Raw genomic sequence first — 23,651 nt, forward strand, 5'->3', positions numbered from 1 at the left:
AAGGCTTTCAGCACCTTATAAAAATCTGCCAGATCTGAAAGGAAACACTTAGCAGGCAAGTAAAATTTTTAATAGATTAGTGTTATGAGTTGTATAAGTCTTTAGGTTAATGGTACAGGTTTAGTACCCCTTAAATGAAATGCTTGGAACCAGAAGTGTTTCAGATTTTGGGTACTTTTGGATTTTAGAATATTTGCATATACATAATGAGATATCTTGGGGACAGAACCCAAGTCTAACATGAAATTCATTTATGTTTCATGTATATCTCATACACATAGCCTGAAGGTAATTTTATATAATATTTTAAATAATTCTCTGCATGAAACCAAGTTTGCATACAGTGAACCATCAGAAAGCACAGTTGTCACTATCTCCTGTGGACAATCTGTAGTTGTTTGGCACCACCATCATTCCTGGCTCTGAATTCATATGCTACTGACAAGCAATCATTTTCTTACACTTATTCACAAATTCACACCTAAGAACTTAACAAAAATTATGACATACCATTAATACAGTGAAAAAATAATGTGTGCAGAGTAACAAGGCAGGACAGTAGAATCACCAGAATACCAGTGTCAGCTACTACACAACAGCAACAACAAAAAATGGCAGCTTTCAGTCTCTGCCTTTGATGCTGTTTTCATTAAAAGCCTACTGTACCCTCTATTTTATGTCTTCAGGTGAGAAGAAACATCAGAAGCAGTTGAGAGACTGGAAGTGGGTCCTCTAGGGATGAGGAGGCATTCTGCTGGATGACTTCTAAAAATGTTTTCTATGGAGTCATCTGCCTCATTAACAAGTTTTTGTTTTAGAAGTCTCTTTTTGATTTTGTAAACTGACATGATTTCTTTTTCTGTTATGACTGTATGCTGCTTTAGTCCTTCACTAGGCCCATCACACATTTTTACCATGTCATCTATAGGCACTTTTTCTGCAGCGTTAACAGCATCATCTTCATTGTCATTATTATAGATTGAGTATCCCTTATCCAAAATACTTAGGACCAGAAGTGTGGAGTTTTCCACTTGTGAAGTTGTGTCAGCACTCAAAAAGTTTTGGATTTTGGAGCATTTTGGATTTTGGGTTTTTGGATTAAGGATGTTCAACCTCTAATAATTCTCGTCAGATTAGCATAAATTTAAAATAATGATACCTCTGAATACTCAGAAAAGAATTGAAGGCCATTTTTGGGGGAAGAGGGAAAGGGCTGGTATCATCTACAGACTATTTTGAATCACAGATTTATGTTTACCGTGATTGTTAGCTAAGATTTAATCTCAAATGGTTTTAAGTTTTTTGGTATTTGTAGTCTTTTTTTTTTTTTTTTTTTTTTTGTCCTTTTTAGGGATCTGCCTGCCTCAGCCTCCTGAGTAGCTAAGACTCGAGGCACATACCACCATACCTGGCTAATTTTTAAATTTTTTTTTGTAGAGACAGGCTATCACTATGTTGCCTTGGCTGGTCTCAAACTGCTGGCCTCCCAAAGCACTGGGATTACAGGTGTAAGCCACAGTGCATGGCCTGTAGCTCCTTCTTCTTCTAATATTGAGTTACTAAGTTTATGTTCAGATATTTTTGGTATTGTATGCATTTGTAAATCCTATTAATTTAGAATACATGACTCTCCATATTCAGTGTAAAAGATTTGTTATTTATAATAAGACAAATCCTTTTAGCACTAATAAATTTCAGAGGTTAATTCTTAGAAATCTAGGGATTACAGCAAATTTGATAGCTGTTTAGTTGAGAAAGATAAATAAGAAAGTATATTAAAGTATATTGTTAATGATAACTCAAAGAGATGAATTTAGTTGGTCACATTAAAAACATAACAAAGTCACCATAAGCGTGTGCTGCTATTGATCCAATGTTTTAATTGATGGTGTCCAATCCCTTGGTGTTGATCTTACCCATTACGTCTGCAGAAAAGACCTAATTATAAGCTGCTTCCCCTGCCACAGTAGTTGTGTACCCTTTGATTCCTTTTCTTTTTTCTAACGCAGGCCAGACGGTTTTGCTGTCTCAGCCTACTGTGGTACAACTTCAAGCACCTGGAGTTCTGCCCTCTGCTCAGCCAGTCCTTGCTGTTGCTGGGGGAGTCACACAGCTCCCTAATCACGTGGTGAATGTGGTACCAGCCCCTTCAGCGAATAGCCCAGTGAATGGAAAACTTTCCGTGACTAAACCTGTCCTACAAAGTACCATGAGAAATGTCGGTTCAGATGTAAGTTTTGAAACTTAGTGCTTCTCTTAATGCCTGATTTAAAAACCAACAAAAAAACACCTTTTGCTTTTGTTGCCTTGTTTTTGTTTTTTTTAGAGTTTCTTATATTGCATCAAATAAAAGAGTGTGCTGAATTGCACATCTAGTCTTTGGAGGAAAATTAGGGTAAGGCTTACTACGTTAGAATCTAAGTGAAAAGGTTTTTGAAAGTGAAGTGGTTTGATGAAAAGCAAAGTATGCATACCTCCCTCTTCTTTACTCCTTCTTTAGAACCAACCCTCTTATTATTCTCTTCAAGCCCTTACACCCTCAACCCAGTCATCCACTAATATTTTACAGATTCAACGTTTCCTGATTGAAATGTTTTAGCGATCTTCAGATAAGAGTCTATAGATTACTTTTTAGGTAGGTTTTATATTTAGCTTTCTTCCTTGCCGTTTTGAAGTATTTTCACCACTTCATAATGATGACTAGCTACTCTTAGGAATTCTGTCTCTTAGTGATTATTTGGTACTTTCCCATTTTTGCAAACCTTTAAATTTTCTAGCATGTTGTAGGGATTTCTTATAATTTATAAATCACATAGTTTCCTAAGACCTGTCACTCTCTAAAGCCAGTTACTGCACTTGCCAACTAACTCTTGCTTTCTTTCAAAATGATTGGAAATAACTTATGTATTAAATTGAACATCTTGGTCCTAAAATTTAATGAATGTTAAAGCTATATAGTCAAACAGTGGATTCTCTAAAGTTACGATTGGGAAAGCAAAGTGTGTATGTTTTCTTTAAAATAAAAATGGATACTACTAGTTGTTAATATTACTACTTCATCCTTTCTTTAGGTAGAATGCATTTGAAAAGTAATTTTAAAATCCTGTGGGTTATGCAAGGTTGTTTATCAGACTACTGTCTGATCTGTCTGCCAGAATTTATTAACCAGCATGTCAGTGACCCATTTAATTATAAAATTGCTCCACAGTTGCATAAACAGTAATCTCAGCCAGCAATATTGTAAAAATTCATAACAAAGGAATATTGTCTGGTGAAAGTAGAACATCCAGTTTCTAGAATAAGAGTCCCATCGTTTGTATAGGTATTGAAAACAATGCATGTCAAGACATGGAATAGGAAAATTAGTGTTGCTATGAGACTAGAGACCATGGACAGTACAGGATTAGGCTTGACTGTTATGTTGGTTTGTTTTGAGGACTAGAAGAGGTAAGCACAATGCTTATGGCATAATAGGCTCTAATACATAGCGTGTGTTTCAGTTGAAGATGAAACAATGTTGCTGGGATGGGAAGGTGGTGAGCACAGGATAGAGGCAACTGGATTGGCAAAATGTTGATAATGATGGAAGCTGGGTGTTTATTTTTCTATCCTTTTGGTGCATGGAAAAATTTCTACAATATGTTAAAAAAATGACAATAACAAAAATCCAAAAGCTTTCTGTGATATTTTCAATTAAAAAGTTGTGTGACCAATAAGAAAAGAGTATGATTTTCATGGGAGACCAACCAGGTTAAGAATGATGAAAAAGGATTTTTAAAAATAATGCTTTGAAATTTCTTTTTTTTTGTTTTATTATACTTTAAGTTTTAGGATACATGTGCACAATGTGCAGGTTAGTTACATATGTATACATGTGACATGCTGGTGCGCTGCACCCACTAACTCGTCATCTAGCATTAGGTATGTCTCCCAGTGCTATCCCTCCCCCCTCCCCCCACCCCACAACAGTCCCCAGAGTGTGATGTTCCCCTTCCTGTGTCCATGTGTTCTCATTGTTCAATTCCCACCTATGAGTGAGAATATGCAGTGTTTGGTTTTTTGTTCTTGCGATAGTTTACTGAGAATGATGATTTCCTTTTAATACTCTTTTAAATTATGAACTTGAATGTTTCTTATATAATACCCCCAAATGAAACTTATAATAGAAAATATCCAAAGTTGCCTTTATGTAATATGTTAGGACATTTAAAATATTTTTATGAAATATTTTAGACATGAAAAAAAGATAAAGACTAATTAGAACTTTAAAAATACATAGGTCAACAGTATATCACTGTTGTTAAAAAATATTAACAATATTAATCTAAGTCATCCCAAACATGGAAAAGTCCAGAAAAGCATAGCTAGGATGGGGAGAGTATCTAGAAACCATGGGGTAGAGGAGTGGGTTAAAGGTTGGAATGATTCAGTAAACTGAAGAAGAGAGGATGGAAAGTAGACCTGGGAGCCATCTTCCAGGAAAGGAAGGTTGTTATGTGGAAAATAGAATTGTTCTGCTTGTTCCAGAAGAGTTATCTGGAACAGGTGCAGGAAAAATATAGAAAGGTTTCTTCTAAACATAAGGTTTTTTGATACAATCATTGTATTTAAAAACCAGAAGAGCAACCCCCCTGCCTTTTTTTTTTTCTACTTTTAGGCTTACTATCTGAATAATGAGCATCTTAATGTTGACAATCATCACTGTATGCCATTGACCCATTTTATAATCTCTAAACATATTCCAATTAATTATATGTTGGTCTATTAGTCAGACATCCTTTATTAGTTCTCTGGTGTGAAAGACTGTGTCTGTTCAGCTTTTGTACTCTTAAGGGGGATCTGTAAATTTAAAGTATTTTTAATGAAATATTTTAGACATGAAAAAAGATAAAGACTAATTAGAAGTTAAAAAATATATAGGTCAAGAGTATGTCACTGCTAAAAATATGAGAAAATGTAGAACCAATAAATACTGCTAGAAACAAAAGCTAATACTTATTGGTTCTATGTTTTCTCATCTCACACATCCCCCAGTTCTTCAACGTTAATTGAGACTTTGTCAGCAAAGTCTCAATGTATGAATGTCTACATTTATTGTATGAATGTATATTCAGATGAGGTTAATTTTTTTAACAATGATATACCGTTGACCTACATATTTTTAAAGTTCTAATTAGTCTTTATCTTTTTTCATGTCTAAAATATTTCATTAAAAATACTTTAAATTTACAGAGCCCCCTTAAGAGTACAAAAGCCAAACAGACACAGTCTTTTTGAAGTTTAGAATTGACAGGATTATAAAGAAAGATTCAAACACTTTATGTTTAATGCAAAGAGACCTAAGGACAATTAGAATAATTTTCTAGTCAACCTGCATTGAGGTTTTTGTGCTTATTTTTACTTGGCCAGCACATCGAGACGTGAGCCAAGCCTTTCAATATGAGTTTTTTTGGTAGAAATTTTGACTGAATGTTTATTTCAAGTAAAGAAGCATTAGTCTGTCCTAGCAGCAGGCCAACCCACTCAGGAACCCAAAGTAAATCTGTTCCAGAAGGAGTTGCAGAGAAGAACTTTGATCAGCTTGTATAGCCTTCTGTGTTAGTAACTTGGTTGACCTCAGTATTACATGTGTCTGTTAAAACACAAGTCCTATTAAATTAGGATAAATTAATATAAATTCCTAATTTAAAATGATCAAAAAAATATTTTTTATCATATACCTTTTGTGCCTTTAAACCAAAAGTATGGTGAAAGAATTGTAATCCACCAAAAAAAAAAAAATCATATCAGTTTTTTTGTGGCTTTGTAATGCTGACATGGCTTCTTTTTCTACCTTTTTTAGTTCTTTTGTTTGGCTGGTTTCACTCTCCAGAGGCCTGCTACAGCCATAAGTAGCGTTTTTAGCATACCATATTCTGCAAACTGCATTAAATGCCACATTTTCTGTTATGAAACAGTTTGCCTGGTTCAAATTATATCTTACTCTTCCTGTCTTTTGCTGGTAAATCTGTTTTGTTTAACTCTTGGAGACCTCACCTAAGTTTTCAAGAAATATGGTTTGTTTTTGGCTGTGATCCTGATGGAAAAAATGAACATGATCTCTCATTTCAGTGTAGAAGTTCTCTGTGCAGTTTCTTAGTAAATGGCAATCTTGGAACTACAAAGTTGACTTTATAGGACAGCATGCTTATCTTTCTTTAAAGGGCTATTTAGTGTTGCCACACATCAAACCAAGGGCTTAAAAACAAGCAGTCTGTTTAAATCTGCATTACACTCACTACTTCCACCTACCCATCATAATCGCATAAACTTTATGAAACATTACTGCCCTTGTTTTAAGGTTATAGGAATTACATTGTTTTAGTTATTGGAACAAAAGACCAGAAAAACAAGTGGTAAAATTCTACATCTTCCACAGTGGGCCACATTGGAGCAAATACTCTTAGTGGAAATCAGTAGGTGGGAATAATGGAAAGAAAAGTATCCAGAACTGATATAGAACTATAAATAACCTCAGATGTGAGGTTGATGAAGGGATACAAACTACTGTTAGGAGTCTCCTTCCTTCCGGCTCAGTCACCCCACTGAATATCTTCCAAACTCTGTATCACCTTTTACCCTGTTTCTAAATCCTATAGTTAGGAAACTTGATCCCTTCCATCCCAAAATGACTTCCCTTTGGGAGTCCCTGTCTTGGGTTCCTAGAGTCATCATGAGAAGGTAGGTGCTGGGGGGAATCCTTTGCTACTGGTTTGCAGGTATTAGAAATGGTGCGAAGGGGATTCTCCTGTCATACCAAATTAGAACTTTGTATTTCCTTTCTCTAGAATTGGTGTACAGTTAATTTAGGGATTTCAGGTATTTTTAGTATTGTTCTATGGGAGTGATGTGACATGGGCCTAGATGGATGCCCTGCACACAGTGTTCCTCTCTTGCAGTGGAGGAACATGAGCTTGGAGAATCTACCATGTGTATAGCAAGCAGAAAGCAAGCCTCCTCATTGTCTAGAGGGAGATTTTATCTCATCCTTCAAGGTTGCTTGTTGGAAACTGAACCTTGAGAATGGCCTGGGAAAAGAGTGGTCCGGACCTTGCATTCTTTGCATACCCAATAAGACGTGTAGGAGCAAAACTCATAAGAGACTCCCTGGAGGTGTGTTTCTCAAGAAAAATATGTCTATAATAATCTATTTGCAATGCATAGCAACTCAGAAAAACAGAGACTGCCTATGTTCTATTTCAGAAAAAAAGCAAAACTTCAATAGACGTTGAAGTTGCTTATCTGTAACATCCAAGAATAGGACGCTGGTTAGGTCAAAATGTGAGCTGAATCTCCTTAAATTATGTGGCTAGCTTAGATCTCAGAAGATAAATAATGAATAGGCACTTCTTAATAACTTCTAACAACAAACAAGTTGAGATCATGATATTTCTTTAGGCTGCAAAGTAGAGGAATCTATCAGAACAAATCCAATAGGAAGGATTTGGAGAGCTGGAGTTATCCAGGGTTTAGTAAAAAAATTACTTCTGTGCTGACTGCATTGTGGCTTTGCTGCTACCAGGGACTCTGCAAATAAAAGAAAATATGCTTTGTTTAAATATTTGCAGTATCTCTTTAAATGTAGGTTTGGAGCTTCTAAAAATTTATCTTGAATAGCAGTTCAGTTTCATTTGAGGTTACAGTAGCTTTGGAAGGGGAAGTGAACAGCTTTTTTTTGTTGTTGTTTATTTTTCCTTCCTGATGCATTGCATTAGGATAAATTTATGTTGTGGCAACCTCAGCATTCTTTATTCTGTACTTTTTGTACTTTTTAGTTTGTCATCTTTTTTTTTTTTTTTTTTTTTTTTTTTTTTTTGAGACAAAGTCTTGCTCTGTTGCCCAGGCTGGAGTACAATGGCACGCTCTTGGCTCACTGCAACCTCCACCTTCCAGGTTCAAGCGATTCTCCTGCCTCAGCCTCCTGAGTAGCTGGGACTACAGCTATGTGCCACCACACCCAGCTAATTTTTGTATTTTTAGTAGAGATGGGGTTTCACCAGTTTGGCCAGGCTGTTCTCAAACTCCTGGCCTCAAGTGATCCACCTGCCTCGGCCTCCCAAAGTGCTGGGATTATAGGCATGAGCCACTGCGCCCAGCAGTTTGGCATCTTTATAAGAATAATAAATAATTATTTTTAAGGATTCTGATTTTTATCTTAATAAACAATGAAATACTTCTCTCTCCTTTCTCTAATTTCCCTTCTCAAAACCTTGTGGGGACTCATTCTAGGGAGACAGTCCTTTTATACCCCAGAGACTTTCTTGCAAATCAGTTTCCTTGTCTGGTAGTCATTCTTACTAGTTTTGTGTGCATTCTTCTGGAGACAGTTCTTTAATATGTAAGTACTTATAGTTTTATTTATTGACCTATTTCATAGAAAAGGTAGCATACTGTACATGTCATCCTGCAACTTGCTTTTCTCACTTATACCTTAGAGATCTGTTCAGATCAGTACTAAAAACTTTTCTCATTCCTTTTTTAAATTTTTATTTATTTATTTATTTTTTTAAAGACAGTCTGTTGCTCTGTTGCCTAGGCTGGTGTGCAGTGGCATGATCATAGCTCACTATTGCCTTAAATATCTGGGCTTAAGCAATCCTCCTGCCTCAGGCTCCTGAGTAGCTAGATGTGTGCCACCTGGCTAAATTTTGATTTTTTTTTTTGTTTTTGTAGAGATGGGGGTCTTGTTGTATTGCACAGGGTGGTCTTGAGCTCCTGGCCTCAAATGATCCTCCTGCAGTGGCCTCCCAAAGTGCTGAGATTACAGGCATAAGCCACCATGCCTGGTCTTTTTCTTATTCTTTTAATAGCTGCATTTTAATGGCTACATAGTAACCTACTTCATAGGGGTGCCATAATTATTGTAAAATTTTGCAGTCCTTTTCATTATAAACATTTCTTCATTGAATAACTTGGTACTTATTTCATTTTGTTCATATACAAATATATCTATGGGAGAAATTTTATTTTATTTTTATTATACTTTAAGTTCTAGGGTACATGTGCACAACGTGCAGGTTTGTTACATATGTATATATGTGCCATGTTGGTGTGTTGCACCCATTAACTCGTGATTTACATTAGGTATATCTCCTAATGCTATCCCTCCCACCTCCCCCAACCCCACGACAGGCCCTGGTGTGTGATGTTCCCCTTCCTGTGTCCAAGTGTTCTCATTGTTCAATTCCCACCTATGAGTGAGAACATGTGTGTTCGGTTTTTTGTCCTTGTGGTAGTTTGCTGAGAATGATGGTTTCCAGCTTCATCCATGTCCCTACAAAGGACATGAACTTATCCTTTTTTATGGCTGCATAGTATTCCATGGTGTATATGTGCCACATTTTTTTAATCCAGTCTGTCATTCATGGACATTTGGGTTGGTTCCAAGTCTTTGCTATTGTGAATAGTGCTGCAATAAACATAAGTGTGCATGTGTCTTTATAGCAGCATGATTTATAATCCTTTGGGTATATACCCAGTAATGGGATGGTTGGGTCAAATGGTATTTCTAGTTCTAGATCCTTGAGGAATTGCCACACTGTCTTCCACAATGGTTGAACTAGTTTACAGTCCTACTAACAGTGTAAAAGTGTTCCTGTTTCACTACTTTGTAATGATTGCCTGTTTCCTGACTTTGTAATGATTGCCATTCTAACTGGTGTGAGATGGTATCTCATTGTGGTTTTGATTTGCATTTCTCTGATGGCCAGTGATGATGAGCATTTTTTCATGTGTCTGTTGGCTGCATAAATGTCTTCTTTTGAGAAGTGTCTGTTCATATCTTTCGCCCACTTTTTGATGGGGTTGTTTTTTTCTTGTAAATTTGAGTTCTTTGTAGATTCTGGATATTAGCCCTTTGTCAGATGAGTAGATTGCAAAAATTTTGTGGGAGAAATTTTTAGAATTGGATTTGCTGGGCCAGAAGGTATGTACTTGTTCAGTTTTGATAGGTTTTACCAAATGGTCCTCCATTGAGGTAGTTCTAATTGAGAAGTCAGTCACAGGGCTTAATGGAGTCCTTGGGTGGGTTTCAGTGTTTCCATAATCAGCATCCTATATTAGTCAGTTCTCACACTTCTATAAAGAAATACCTGAAACTGAGTGATTTATAAAGAAAAGAGGTTTAATTGTCTCATGGTTCTGCAGGCTGTACAGGAAACATGGCTGGGGAAGCCTCAGGAAACTTACAATCATGACTGTGGGTGAGGGGGAAGCTGGCACATCTTACATGGCTAGAGCAGGAGAAAGAGAGAAAAGAGGGAAGTGCTACACACTTTTAAACAACCAGATCTTATGAGAACTTACTATCATGAGAACAGCAAGGTGGAAATCTGCCTCCATGATCGAATCACCTTTCACCAGGCTCCTCCCCCAACATTGGGGATTACAATTCGACATGAGATTTGGGTAGAGACACAAATCTAGATCATATCACACCCCTTTACCCCACCTCACCTCATCCCTCATATAGTTGTTAGCAATGTGCAAGTGCATTTGTCTGGGGAGTCCATAAGCTCTTTTGTTGTCTTTTTTTTTTTAACAGCTTCATTGAGATAAAATGCACATTACATAAGGATCACCCTTTTGAACTGTACAATTTAGTGGTACCATCACTGCTGTCTAATTCCAGAATATTTTTGTCACCCTAAAAAGAAAACCCCATAGTCATTAGCCATAGTCTTTCCTCATTTCTCACTCCCTGCAGCCCCTGGTAGCCATTTAATCTGTTTTCTGTGTGGAGTTGTCCCAGACATTTCATATGAGTGGAATCATACACTATGTGCCCTTTTGTGTATGGCGTCTTTCACTTACCATATTTTTTTCAAGCTTCAGCCATGTTGAAGCATGTGTCAGTGTTTATTCTTTTTTATGACTGAATAATATTCTATTATATGGATATACCACATTTTTGATAATCCATTCATCAGTTGGTAGACATTTGGCTTGTCTCCACTTTTTGTCTGTTATGAGTAATGCCACTTTGAACACTCATGTACATTTTCACAGTCTTTTAAGAACGATTTTTAATATATAGAGTATAAATCAGTGAGAAAAATGCAAATTAATTCAACCATCAATGGACAATATATACGAATAGATAATTCACGAAGAAGAGTGGTAAATTTTAAAAATGAAAGTATCAATGGCTGTGTATTCCTGAAGGGATATTCCCTCTGAAAGATTACTATTTTATAACTATGTGAAAGAATATTAATTGTTAGCAGGAGAGATCTTGTGGCTGGTTACAGGTAGTTCGAGAATGATATTCAAGAATTTAAAGTGTTATGGTTAGACTTTTCTGTGGCTCTTACCTCCCTTGAGTATGAGATCTAAAGGAAAATGTCTTATGGCTTCTTATAACTTCCCAGTGTGTATACACTGCGGTTGTGTGTGTGTGCTGACACATGTTAAACTTTGGTTATTGTATGGGTACACATGTTAAACTTTATATTTAGTTATAATTTTAAATTTCAAAAAGTACAAAAACAAAAAATAGTACAGAGAACACCCAGGTATTCTTCAGCCAGATTCACCTGTTGTTAACATTTTACCCAATTTGCTTGCTTATTCTTTATCTACCTACCTACCCATCCATCCATCCATCCACTATCCATCCATCCATCCATCCATCCACTATCCATCCATCCATCCACCCACCCATCCACCCACCATCCAACCATCCATCCATCCATCCATCCATCCATCCATATACACACACAATTTTTTTCCTGAACTATTTTAGGGTAAGTTACATACCTCACAGTATTTTACCCCTAATTTTTTCAGTGTGCATTTTCTAAGACTAGGTACATTCTTTTATTAACTTCAATAATTTACATTAATAAAATAGTTCAATCACCTGTCAATATTACAATTCTGTCAGTCGACCAAATATTTACTGGATTTTCACAAAGTCTTTGTGAAGGGGACATTATTTATTCCCATTTTACTACTGAAGGAATCAACTAGCTAAGTGATTCAACAAATGTCATATTGCTAAGATGGCTAATATTAATAAAGTACTATGTGCCAGGCACTTTTCTAAGTGCATAACTTGTAAATACTCTCTTTAAATCTTATAACAGCTCTTTGAAATGAATCAGGGCCCTGAGGAATACAGAGTAAGGAACAGACAGAGTGCTCAGAGGAATGTTAAGTTTTAGGCTCTTTTTCTGCTTCTTTAGTGATTAAATAACATTTCATGCTTTGTGTGTGTGTGTGTGTGTGTGTGTTTTAATTTTAAAACTTAAAATCTGAAAATGGGAGCTGGAATGGGAGCAGGTATTTTCTTTTTTTTTTTTTTTTTTTTTTTTTTTTTTTTTTTTTTTGAGACGGAGTCTCGCTCTGTCGCCCAGGCTGGAGTGCAGTGGCGGGATCTCGGCTCACTGCAAGCTCCGCCTCCCGGGTTCACGCCATTCTCCTGCCTCAGCCTCCCAAGTAGCTGGGACTACAGGCGCCCGCCACTACGCCCGGCTAATTTTTGTATTTTTAGTAGAGACGGGGTTTCACCGTTTTTAGCCGGGATGGTCTCGATCTCCTGACCTCGTGATCCACCCGCCTCGGCCTCCCAAAGTGCTGGGATCACAGGCGTGAGCCACCGCGCCCGGCCAGGAGCAGGTATTTTCAATATTGCTTTAGTTGCATGGTATATCAGAGCAGCTGTGAGGTACATTGTTGATGGAAGTAATAATTTTGCCTCCTCTGTGTGTGTGTGTGTGTGTGTGTGTGTGTGTGTCACATAATTTTCCTGAAAGCCATATTTGTATGGTACATTATAGCTTACAGAGAACCTTCATGTCTGTTACACAGTTGATTCTCACCCCAATCATTTGACCACTTATAATTGAGTTAGGATTCAAGCCTAGCTCAATTATAACTGGTCTTCTCCTAATCCAGTGGTGTCATCATTACTCTGTGCTCCATTAATAGAGCCTTTACTTTCAAGGTAGTCCTGATGCAGCTCAGACTTTAAATTACCCACGTCCTTTGCTTACAACTTTATGGGAAAAGAAAAAAGAAAAAAAAAGAACAAATTACCCAAGTCTCGAAACTTGCTGATACCTTTTTTCTCCCTTTACAAATGTTTTTTCTTAATTTATAAAAATTAAGATAGTTTTAAGATTTAATTTTTAAAAATTAAGGTAGCAGATAGTTTTAAGTCATGAGGGACAAAGGTTTAGAAAGATTGACCTTATTTGAATAATTTGGTGGTATCAAATGAAACCTGTAGCAAAAATAATCAGATCCATATTTCATTATATAGTAGTCATTATTGTGCTATGTCGTTGTGCCAATTAAATTAAGTGTATCTATTTAGCATCAGCCCCAGAATTATTTTGTTTTTGGATTGGATGAGACCTTTAGAGGACTAATGAAGTGGCTTTAAACTTTTTTGTACACAGTCCACAGTAAGAAATGTATTTAACCTCTCTTTCTCTCTTATACTCAATCTCATGAAACAACTCTTACTAAATATAATGCACCCTTTTTCTTTTATTCTGTCCTGTGCTTTTCTGTCAAATTGTTTTTGAAGGCTGTGGTGATTTACTAAATTGATAAACCTGATATTGGGTTATAATAATGTCATAAGCACTATTCTGGTCTAACTCTCTCTTTTTACTAATATGTAAATACACCCTACAAGGTGACGTGATTTATTTTTATTTTTATTTTTAGATTTTCCAATTAATTCATTGCAATGCTGGGCCAAGAATTAAGGACTCCTAACTTCCAATTTTGTATTTTCATTTAATGACTTAAATTACTATTACTTTTATTTAGTTGCATCAAGTATTTCTTTTCTTTCTTTTTTTTTTTTTGAGATGGAGTTTCACTTTTGTTGCCCAGGCTGGAGTGCAATGGTGTGATCTCGGCTCACCACAACCTCTGCCTCCCAGGTTCAAGCAATTCTCCTGCCTCAGCCTCCCGAGTAGCTGGGATTACAGGCATGCACCACCACTCCCAGCTAATTTTTTTGTATTTTTAGTAGAGATGGGTTTTTTCCATGTTGAGGCTGGTCTCGAACTCCTGACCTCAGGTGATCCGCCCGCCTTGGCCTCCCAAAGTGCTGGGATTACAGGCGTGAGCCACCGCGCCCGGCCTCCATCAAGTATTTCTGAAGACACGTGAAGCAGTGGAGTCATTAACTGAAATAACAGGAAACCATTTTGAGGCTCCTTTGAAGATCCCTGTGTTCAGGACTTGGGTCCCTCTATTCTTCAAGAGGCTGTGCCCATGGTGTGGCTTTGCTGAGAGCATCTGGTGCATACTTCTGCTTTTACCTCTCTTTTGGTTGTTCTTTATCTTCATTCAGAAGATGAGATTGGTAGGGTTTCCCCATCCTATAACCTAGCAGGGACTTTGTCTATTATCTGTTCTCATTCTGGAAACTATACTACATATCAGAAGGCATTCTTCATTTTAAAAAATAGAAGGAAATAGTTTGCAGGATGAAGATTATTTCCTTGATAATCTGCCAAATAAATGGTTCAGGTTGCCAGTATGAAGCTTCTTTAATTTTTGGCAAATGGGAGCTGGTTATATGCATACATACACACAAAACTTAATAGAAAGAGTAAAATAAAATTTTGACTGTCATGAGATTGAGAAGAGTAGAGATAGTGAAAGTCTAAATTTTCTCTTTTTTTCTGCTTTAAACAATTTAATGAGAAAAATAAGTGTACGTAAGATTCTTAACAAAAATCAAATTAAGTTTTTTAATGTATTTGAATATTTAAAGTAGGATTGCCACAAATTAAATTTGCCAATGATTTTAACTATGTGTGTTTTTTAAGAATGTATCTATAAATATGTTTACTGCAATACATATGCAATAATGTATGTTATGTAATTTTTATTTAATTGAAAGATTGTATTTTTATTTTTGGTCAGTTACAGTGAAGAGGTTAATCAGTAATGGCTTCCACTTTATCTATCAGTTTAGAGGGCAAGATTCAGCCAAATGAGAATAAGAACTGTTAGAAAGATGTGCAGCAAGTCAATGATTACCATGTGATTCATCCATAGGTTATCAATACTTGATCTGACTTGAGTTTACATGAGATATTCGAATGTATTTCTTAGCATAAAAATCCCATTTTAATTTTTTTTTTTTTTTTTTTTTTTTTGAGATAGGCTCTTACTCTGTCACCCAGGCTGGAGAACAGTGATGCGATCATGGCTCACTGCAGCCTCAACCTCCTGAGCTCAAGTGATCCTCCTGCCTCAGCCTCTAGGGTAGCTAGGACTACAATTGTGCACCACGATGCCCAGCTAATTTTTTAATTTTAGCAGAGACGAGGTCTTCCTATGTTTCCCAGGCTGTTCTCAAACTCCTGGCCTCAAGCGTTCCTCCTGCCTCGACCTACCAAAGTGTTGGGATTACAGGTGTGAGCCACCACTACTGGCTCCTATCTAGTATTATATCTAATTTAATTTATGGTCATTGAGCTCATTTCTTAGCAACATCACAGAAACAAGGCTTTAGTCAATTTTATTAATAAAAAGAGACTATAATAACTTACAGTGTTTATCAATCAATAAGGTTTTTAGTTTTAAAAACCTTATTGATTGATAATTAAATTGATAATTAAATTAAAACAAGCTGGGCCAGCACTTTGAGAGGCTGAAGCAGGAGGATTGTTTGAGCCCAGGAGTTCAAGACCAGCCTGGGCAACATAGAGAGATCCTATCTCTACAAAAAAATAAACTAGCCAGGCACGGTAGCATGCACCTGTAGTCCCAGCTACTGGGGAGCCTGAGGCTGGAGGATCTGTTGAACCTGTGAGGTTGAGGCTGCAGTAAGCTGCAATTGTGCCACTGCACTCCAGCCTGGGTGACAGAGTGAGATTCTTTCTCAAAAAATTAAATTAAATTAAACTAAAAACAAAATGTGGACGTACTTGAAACTTTGACTCTTACATTGATTCAACCTTCAAAGGAACTTGTCCATTTGTGAAAGTTTTCCTTTTATATAAGTCTTTCTTACAGTCAAATAAGTGTTTACTAAGTGAAATACTACATTTTATAGTGCAGTGGCACTCAAAGGAAACTATTTTGCAGCTGTAGAGTTTTTTCTTTTGTCCTTTTTACTTTTTCCAAGGCAAGATGCCTGGTGGGAGAGTTGTCTGGAGGCAGGATGATCAGAAGCAGGACCTGGCCAGCTGTTCGCTTATTTCAGTCTGTATGAAATCATCTGATATGCCCATAAGAGAGATGTGTCAATTGGCTAATGGGTCAGAGTATTGATTTTATGTTTTCAGATTGCTGACAGAGAGATTAGGCTTCCAGATACAAGCAGTTCCACAAGTCTCTGTTTTCAGACAGGCACATAATTAAAGTAACCACACAGTTCTCTGAGGTTAGAGTTCCATGCTGTGATGCAAGCCTCTCTATTTGGTATTTAAAAGCAGTTTGAAGCTGTTGTGTAAGTATCACTGGACTTGGAGTCAACTGACCTAAGTTCTAGCCTTGGCCCTTCTACTGTCTTAACAGTGGATTAAATGATGAGGCTTATTTTAAAGAATCTTGAAAACTATAGTAATTTCAACAAGAGGAGATTAATTGAATATATTATGAAACATCAAGATAATTGAAAATCTGTGCTGCCATTATTGCATGTCAAAGGTCATTTTGATACACTGTATGTGCAAAAGCAGTTTACCAAACAGAATTACATACAGTGTAATCCTTTTTTTCTTATATAGGAAAATACCCACTTCCCCCCACTTAAAAAAATACCAAACACCACAATGTGTGTATGTTTAGCCTACAAATCATATTTTTTTTGCCTAGGAAGTATTGAATAATTTAAATATTTTATATTCAGATAGCTAAAGATGGCTTGCTGAGATAAAACATTGGAGCCCTGTGTTTGGTGATAGCCGTGGGTTTCATTTATTTTTACTGTCTTTATCCTCTGTATTTATTGATAGTATTGAATATTTATTTTCAGAACTATTATAGTGTATCTGTTTCTATGGGAAGAAATGAATATTTGACCACAGATGGTTTTCATTTTTTTAGTATGGGGCACGTGGATTGACAGCCTTTGAAACTTGAATGCTGTGTAATATTCAGGTGCTTTTATTGTTTATAGAAATGCCTAATCCTTGTTTGAAATTTATTAAATGGTATGCCATCTGTAAGCCCCTCTAAATTCCACAGATTAATTAGCCTTTAAAGTAAGGTTGCCTTTTGTCTAACTTTTAGTATAAACTCTTCCATCTGGGAACTTTCACTTTTATGTCCCTGTTCAGTGTTCTGTGTACTTCAGCACTCTAGTATTAATTATGGACACTGGCATTCTAAGTAACATGAAGAACACTAAAAATAAAAGTAGACTGAACAAAGTGGCAATGTCCGGAGAATAGTTTGCATTTGGTGAATAATCAATCCATCATGGCTTTGCCATTGCTCTTTGTATGTGCGTGCGTGTGTGTGTGTGTGAGTGTGTGTGCATGTGCGTGTTTAGCATTACTTAAGAGTGAGATAGTTATTCTTCAGGGAAATTTTTACAGATGATGGTTTCACAAAAATCAGCCTTTTTGTAGTTTAAATAAAAAAACACCCTTTTTGACATTTCATGTAACATTTCCTTGTGGGTTCTGATTTAAAGGTTGTTGAAAATATTTGGTGTTGGCAGATCACTTGGTTGGCTTTGGCATACTTCTCTTTCTAGGAAATGTAGTATCAGGGTGGGAATTGTGTTGTTGTTTTAAAAGAAATAGATTACAGGCTGGCACGGTGGCTCACACTTGTAATCCCAGCACTTTGGGAGGCCGAGGCGGGCGGATCAGGAGGTCAGGAGATTGAGACCATCCTGGCTAACACGGTGAAACCCTGTCTCTACCAAAAATACACAAACAAAATTAGCCAGGCGTGGTGGTGGGCACCTGTAGTCCCAGCTACTCGGGAGGCTGAGGAGGGAGAATGGTGTGAACCTGGGAGGCGGAGCTTGCAGCGGGCCGAGATCTCCCCACCGTACTCCAGCCTGGGCAACAGAGCAAGACTCCATCTCAAAAAAAAAAAAAAAAAGGAAATAGATTACATTCTTTAACTTTATTTACTGGTCTCAGTAAGAGTTATTGAACACTCTAGAGTGTTTACTTTTTAAAGTCCATTGCAAAATATATAGAAATTAGTAATTCAACCATCTGTGTACTCATACTAATCAATGTAATATAGGTTGGCGCTTTTTATGCACTTAATTTTGCCACCTCTCTCACTTCCCCAAAGAAATTAGACTAATGTATAACAATAGGCTTCATAACTTAATTTAGAAAACATAACAAAAATAATTTCGCTCAGTAAGTTTCTGTTGTAGTAGATATTGTTGGTATTAAACAAAAAAGTAGGATCAGATGTGGTTTGGCTTTCAAGGTATAAAATCTAGGTGGGGAAAGAGAGAGAGAGTTAACATTCTTGAAACAATTGAGAGCATTAGAGTGTTCCAGTATATCCTCCAAATTCTAAGGGTATAAGATGTTCAGAGAAAATAAAAAATCAGGGTGGGTTAGAATAATTGAGTTCAAATGGACCTTGGAATTAGGTTAGTGGAGGAGATAGCATTCCAAATGGAAATAAACAATGCGAATAAGGAAACATGTTAGACATGTATGGAGATTATGAAGTAGCCTTAAATGATAAGATTGGAGGAGTGTGGCTTGAATAGCTGTAGATTTAGGGCAGAAGGTCTGGTTAGGCCGTGGGAGGTCACAATATGGAAGACCTTAAAAGAAAAGATGGGTAGCAGGGATACATGACTAGCTTGTTTTTGCAATTGAGTAGTAAGATAAAAATATTTTCTTAGGAGAAGTTATCTTAGAAATGGTGGACAGGATGAGATGGAACACAATTGAAATAGGAGTCTGTTGCAGTAGTATAGGGATGAGTTAATGAGTGCCTGTATTAGGAGAGTGGAAGAGGGAATAGAGAGAAAGTAATTACTGAGACACATTTTCACTGGAATAAATTTGGTCATTAGTATATACTTTTAACATATTCAATGAGTGAATGAGGGATTGAGAAGGACTGAATATAGTGAATAAAGTAAAATAATAGTTACTATTGATAGAAAATGGATAGATTTTTAAACAATCTAGTTAGAGGGAGATAGTTCAGTTTGCACATAATGAATTTGAAGTGGTAATAACTGTAAGAAGTGGCCTTATAATTAATTGAATATATGGTTCTGGGGCATAGCCATTTAAGGGCCAGAGATACAGATTTAAGATGTATGTATATATGCATATATATTTAAAGATACTTTCTGAGGGAGTTTCTAAGGGGAAAATTGGAAGATTAATAAACGAGCCTTAGAAAACATAAGAAGAAATTATTTAACATTTGGGTTTTAGAAGGCCTTATTTAATCATTTGATTTTAACTTATTTAGTTTGAGCAGTGTGTTTTCAAACCTCTTTTGAAACAACTAGTAACCTATGCTTTGAAAAAATTGTTGGTTAAAATAATTGTAAAAATGAGTATATTCTGATCTATTTTGATCTGATTTTAAAACCAGGGTATTCTGATTCATTATAACTTTTTCTAGATTGCTGTGCTAAGGAGACAGCAACGTATGATAAAAAATCGAGAATCCGCTTGTCAGTCTCGCAAGAAGAAGAAAGAATATATGCTAGGGTTAGAGGCGAGATTAAAGGCTGCCCTCTCAGAAAACGAGCAACTGAAGAAAGAAAATGGAACACTGAAGCGGCAGCTGGATGAAGTTGTGTCAGAGGTAAGTGTTAGTAATACGGCTGAGTCGAGATGGGCTAAAGTATCCTCTGGATTAATAAATAGAGAAACTTTTACATTTTAAATTAAATTATGTAAAATAATAGTGCTAGGAAAAGGAGGGTATAATAAGTCCTAAAACATTTGCAGTAAGGATAAAGCATTTGAAGGGGACCCTTTGAATTGTACTCCCCAATCTACATAGAAAAGTTGTCTCCTTTTCCTAGGTTTCTCCTCATTCATTGCCTTAGCACCCTCTTTTCTGGCTAAGTGAATCACACTGAGGCTTCTAAAGTGCCCTGCCATATTTTCCCTTTTAAAAAAGAAAACAATATAAAAGTGTTTTTATTTTTTCTCAGTCCACCTAACAACTAATGTGATTTTTGCATTCTGTTACTATGCTGACTCCAAGAGGTTTTAATCTCCTCAGTTCTATTCGGGAAATTTGCTGTTTTCAGAATTTCTCACTGCAGTGCTGAACCATATAGATGCCTACTGAATGGGGCTTCTTACACTCTTTTTCTCTTGGCCCTGAGTACATGGGAATACTCCTATATTTTACTGAAAACAATGATTTAAAAGGTTAGGGAGGCAAACTATAGAAGTGACTCAAAATTCTTTGGGGATCCGTAAAAATATAAAAAATGTTGAATTCTGGTCGGGCGTGGTGGCTCACGCCTGTAATTCCAGCACTTTGGGACGCTGAGGCAGGCGGATCACAAGGTCAGGAGATCAAGACCATCCTGGCCAACATAGTGAAACCCCATCTCTACTAAAAATACAAAAGTTAGCTGGGTGTAGTGCACACCTGTAATCCCAGCTACTCGGGAGGCTGAGGCAGCAGAATCGCTTGAACCTGGGAGGCGGAGATTGCGGTGATCCGAGATGATGCCACTGCACTCCAGCTTGGCGACAAAGTGACACTCCGTCTCAAAAAAATATATATACATATATATATTGAATTCTTTCCTCTTGGGTGAAGAGGCAACTGCAATGGAGTGGCTGCTGTGTTTTTTTCTCTTCTGCTTCTCTCCTTTTCTCTCCCTGCTGGAAAAGGGAACCTGGAAGTCTCTGCTCTAGTCTTGAAAAGTGTTATTTCCTCACCTTTGATTTTTTTTTTTTTTTTAAATAAGACAAGGTATTTGTAAGACAAGAGATTTACGTAACCGGTAAAGAGGAAAATTCTAATCTTAAGCGTTGCTTTTTCTGAAATCGATGTTAGTTTAATTGTATTTAATGTGGTCATTTCCTTTAGAACCAGAGGCTTAAAGTCCCTAGTCCAAAGCGAAGAGTTGTCTGTGTGATGATAGTATTGGCATTTATAATACTGAACTATGGACCTATGAGGTAAGTGAATAGATATTTATTTTGGACACTAATGCTAAAAACTTAAATTCTCATTATTCTTTAGCTTTTGTCATAAACTAGAGAAAAAATGATTTGTTTTTCAAGATGTGTAAAGAGTAATGAGACAGGAGCCATGCCTTCAAAGATCTCATGATCCAGCTGGGAGGAGAGACAAGTAGAAGGATGACTATGGTATAATGTGATGAACATAATAATAACAGTGTGAATGAGTCCTAACATAATATAGAGTACGAGTTCCTTGAGGTGAAGGTTCTTGTCGTATTGATGGGTACTCGATACATTTTTTGTTGAGTGACTGAGTTATAAGGGAGATACCTACGAAGGAAGCTGAACATTGAACTGTAATATCAGTTTGCCATGTGCAAAGTATGAGAAAGGCATGCCAGGCAAAGGGAACAGCATGTTTAAAGGCACAGTTATGAAATGGCATGACATGTTCATAAAAAAGTGAAAAGTTCAGTGTATCTTGTATATGTGGGGAGTGTGCCTGAGGCTAGATATATGGTTAGAAGTATAGGTGCTGCTGTGTACAATGAGGCATCCCTAGCTTTTAGGTGGAGGGTAACATAATCAGCTTTGCATATTAGGAAGAGGACTTTGTGTGTTGTATTGAGTATAGACTGCAGTGAGGAGAAACTATTGGCAGAGAAAGCATTAGAAGACTATTGAGGTGTTTCAGGTAATAAATGAGAGTCTGAACTTACACTATGGTTATAAAAAGGATGAGCAATCTTAGGGTACCTCTCTGATGTAGCTTTTGTGGGATTTGTTAACTGGTATAATGTGGGACATGAGGAAGAAAAGAGGGAAGTTAAGGATAATTCAAAAATTTCTACCTTGAGGGACCGAATGGTGGTGCTGTCATCGGAGGAAGCAAACATAGACAGATGGATAGTTTTATGAAGAAAGACAATAGTTTTTATTTTAAGTATAGGAAGTTTGTGGCACTGACTAGATATTGAGAATTAACATTATAGATAGGTAGGTAGACTGACAGACAGATAATGTTAGTGGTGTAGATGAGATTATCCAAGGAGAACAAGTAGAGGAAGGAAAGTAACAAGAATCTGGGGGACACCAGTATGAATAGTAGATAGCCTTGGGAAAAGAAACTCACAGCATATTAGGGGCAGAACTGAAAGAAAGTAGCTTTTTGAAGCCAAAGTAAAAAGAGCTTCAAGCAGGTCTTGGGCAGTGGTATCACATGCTGCTGAGAGCTTGGGAGATGTAGAAAGCTGAATTTGGCAATTATCAGGTCAGTTGTAATCTTGGAAAGCAGATTTAGTAGGGGTAGGCATGAAGTCTGTATTAAAATTGGTTGAGAAATTGAAAGGAGTTAAAATTGAATGATCTCTTTTTTAAAAAAAAACATTTTTTATGAAGATTTTCAAACATATAGGAAATTTGAGAAAATAATATGATCAACCCCTTGCTCTCATGAAATTTATAATCTAATATAGGTGACATATACTAATCAAAATGATCACACAAATAAATGCAAAATTGTAACAATGTTAGGTGCCATGAAGGAAAGGTACATGATATCATGAGGCCACATAATAGGGTCACTTGACCTAGTTAGGGAAGTAAGGCAAGGTTTCTCTGAGAAAGAGGTGATTGTGTTAACATCTAAAAGAAGATTAGGAATTATTTAGGTAAGATACAGGAAGAACATTTCATATAGAATATATAAACATCTATTCCCACATTTGTGTTGTGTCTTTGTGTTTATATGTATTTAGTTTAAAAATTTTGGTTTTACATGAAACAATTATATACAAATTGTGCTTTCTTTAAAATATGTGAATACATTATTCTCTTTTAATACTACATAGTTTTTTGTAGTGTAAATGTGCCATAATTTAGCAATTCTCTTTAGGTCTTGGGAACCCCTTTGTACCCTTAAAAGTTACCAAGGATCCCAAATAATTTTTGATTTTGTGGTTTATATATACTGATATTTATTATATGAGAAATTAAAACTTTAAAAATAAAAAATTTTTAATTCATTTAAAAATAATAAACCGTAAACCATTACTTTACATGTTAACATAAATAACATGTTAATGAAGAATAATTATATCTCCCAAACCTCCAAAAATTTAGTGAGATACAGAAGAGTGGTACTACTTTATAGTTTTGTAAAAATATTTTTTTTGGGGGGAAGCTCAAATACATCAGTTTTAGTTTTTCTCTATATACACATTTATTTGCTACTAAAAATTGAAATAGCATATTGAAATTTCCTTTTGTTGCAATCCAAAATTTTGAAAACCAGAAAACCAAATTAATTATTATTATGCTGTGGCCAGACTACTCAGTATTTTCTTTACATTCTTTCCTCCAAGTTACTTTCCTTCAAATTCTTAATGTTGGGTTTTATCTCACTGACTTCAGGCTTCTAAAACACATGGGGATACTTGAGACCTATTGTTGCTTCTTTAGGTCAAATCAATAGTTTCATAAAAATCTTTGATGTCCGACTTAACAGGATCTGGCAGGATTATCTGT

At 36.3% G+C, this 23,651-nt stretch overlaps 1 protein-coding gene across 6 annotated transcripts in view; it reads left to right on the plus strand.

The window, feature by feature from the left end:
- ATF6 (activating transcription factor 6) overlaps nt 1-23,651 on the plus strand; it is a 197,751-nt gene that overhangs the window by 33,723 nt on the left and 140,377 nt on the right. For all 6 annotated transcript variants that reach the window (NM_001437597.1, XM_011509309.1, NM_007348.4 and 3 more), the window contains exons 7-9: nt 2,010-2,230; nt 19,591-19,776; nt 21,028-21,119. In NM_001437597.1, the coding sequence (NP_001424526.1) occupies nt 2,010-2,230; nt 19,591-19,776; nt 21,028-21,119 (499 nt within the window). The remainder of the gene's footprint in view (nt 1-2,009; nt 2,231-19,590; nt 19,777-21,027; nt 21,120-23,651) is intronic.

The sequence above is a fragment of the Homo sapiens genome, chromosome 1 (assembly GCF_000001405.40).
Source record: "Homo sapiens chromosome 1, GRCh38.p14 Primary Assembly".
NCBI lineage: Eukaryota > Metazoa > Chordata > Mammalia > Primates > Hominidae > Homo > Homo sapiens.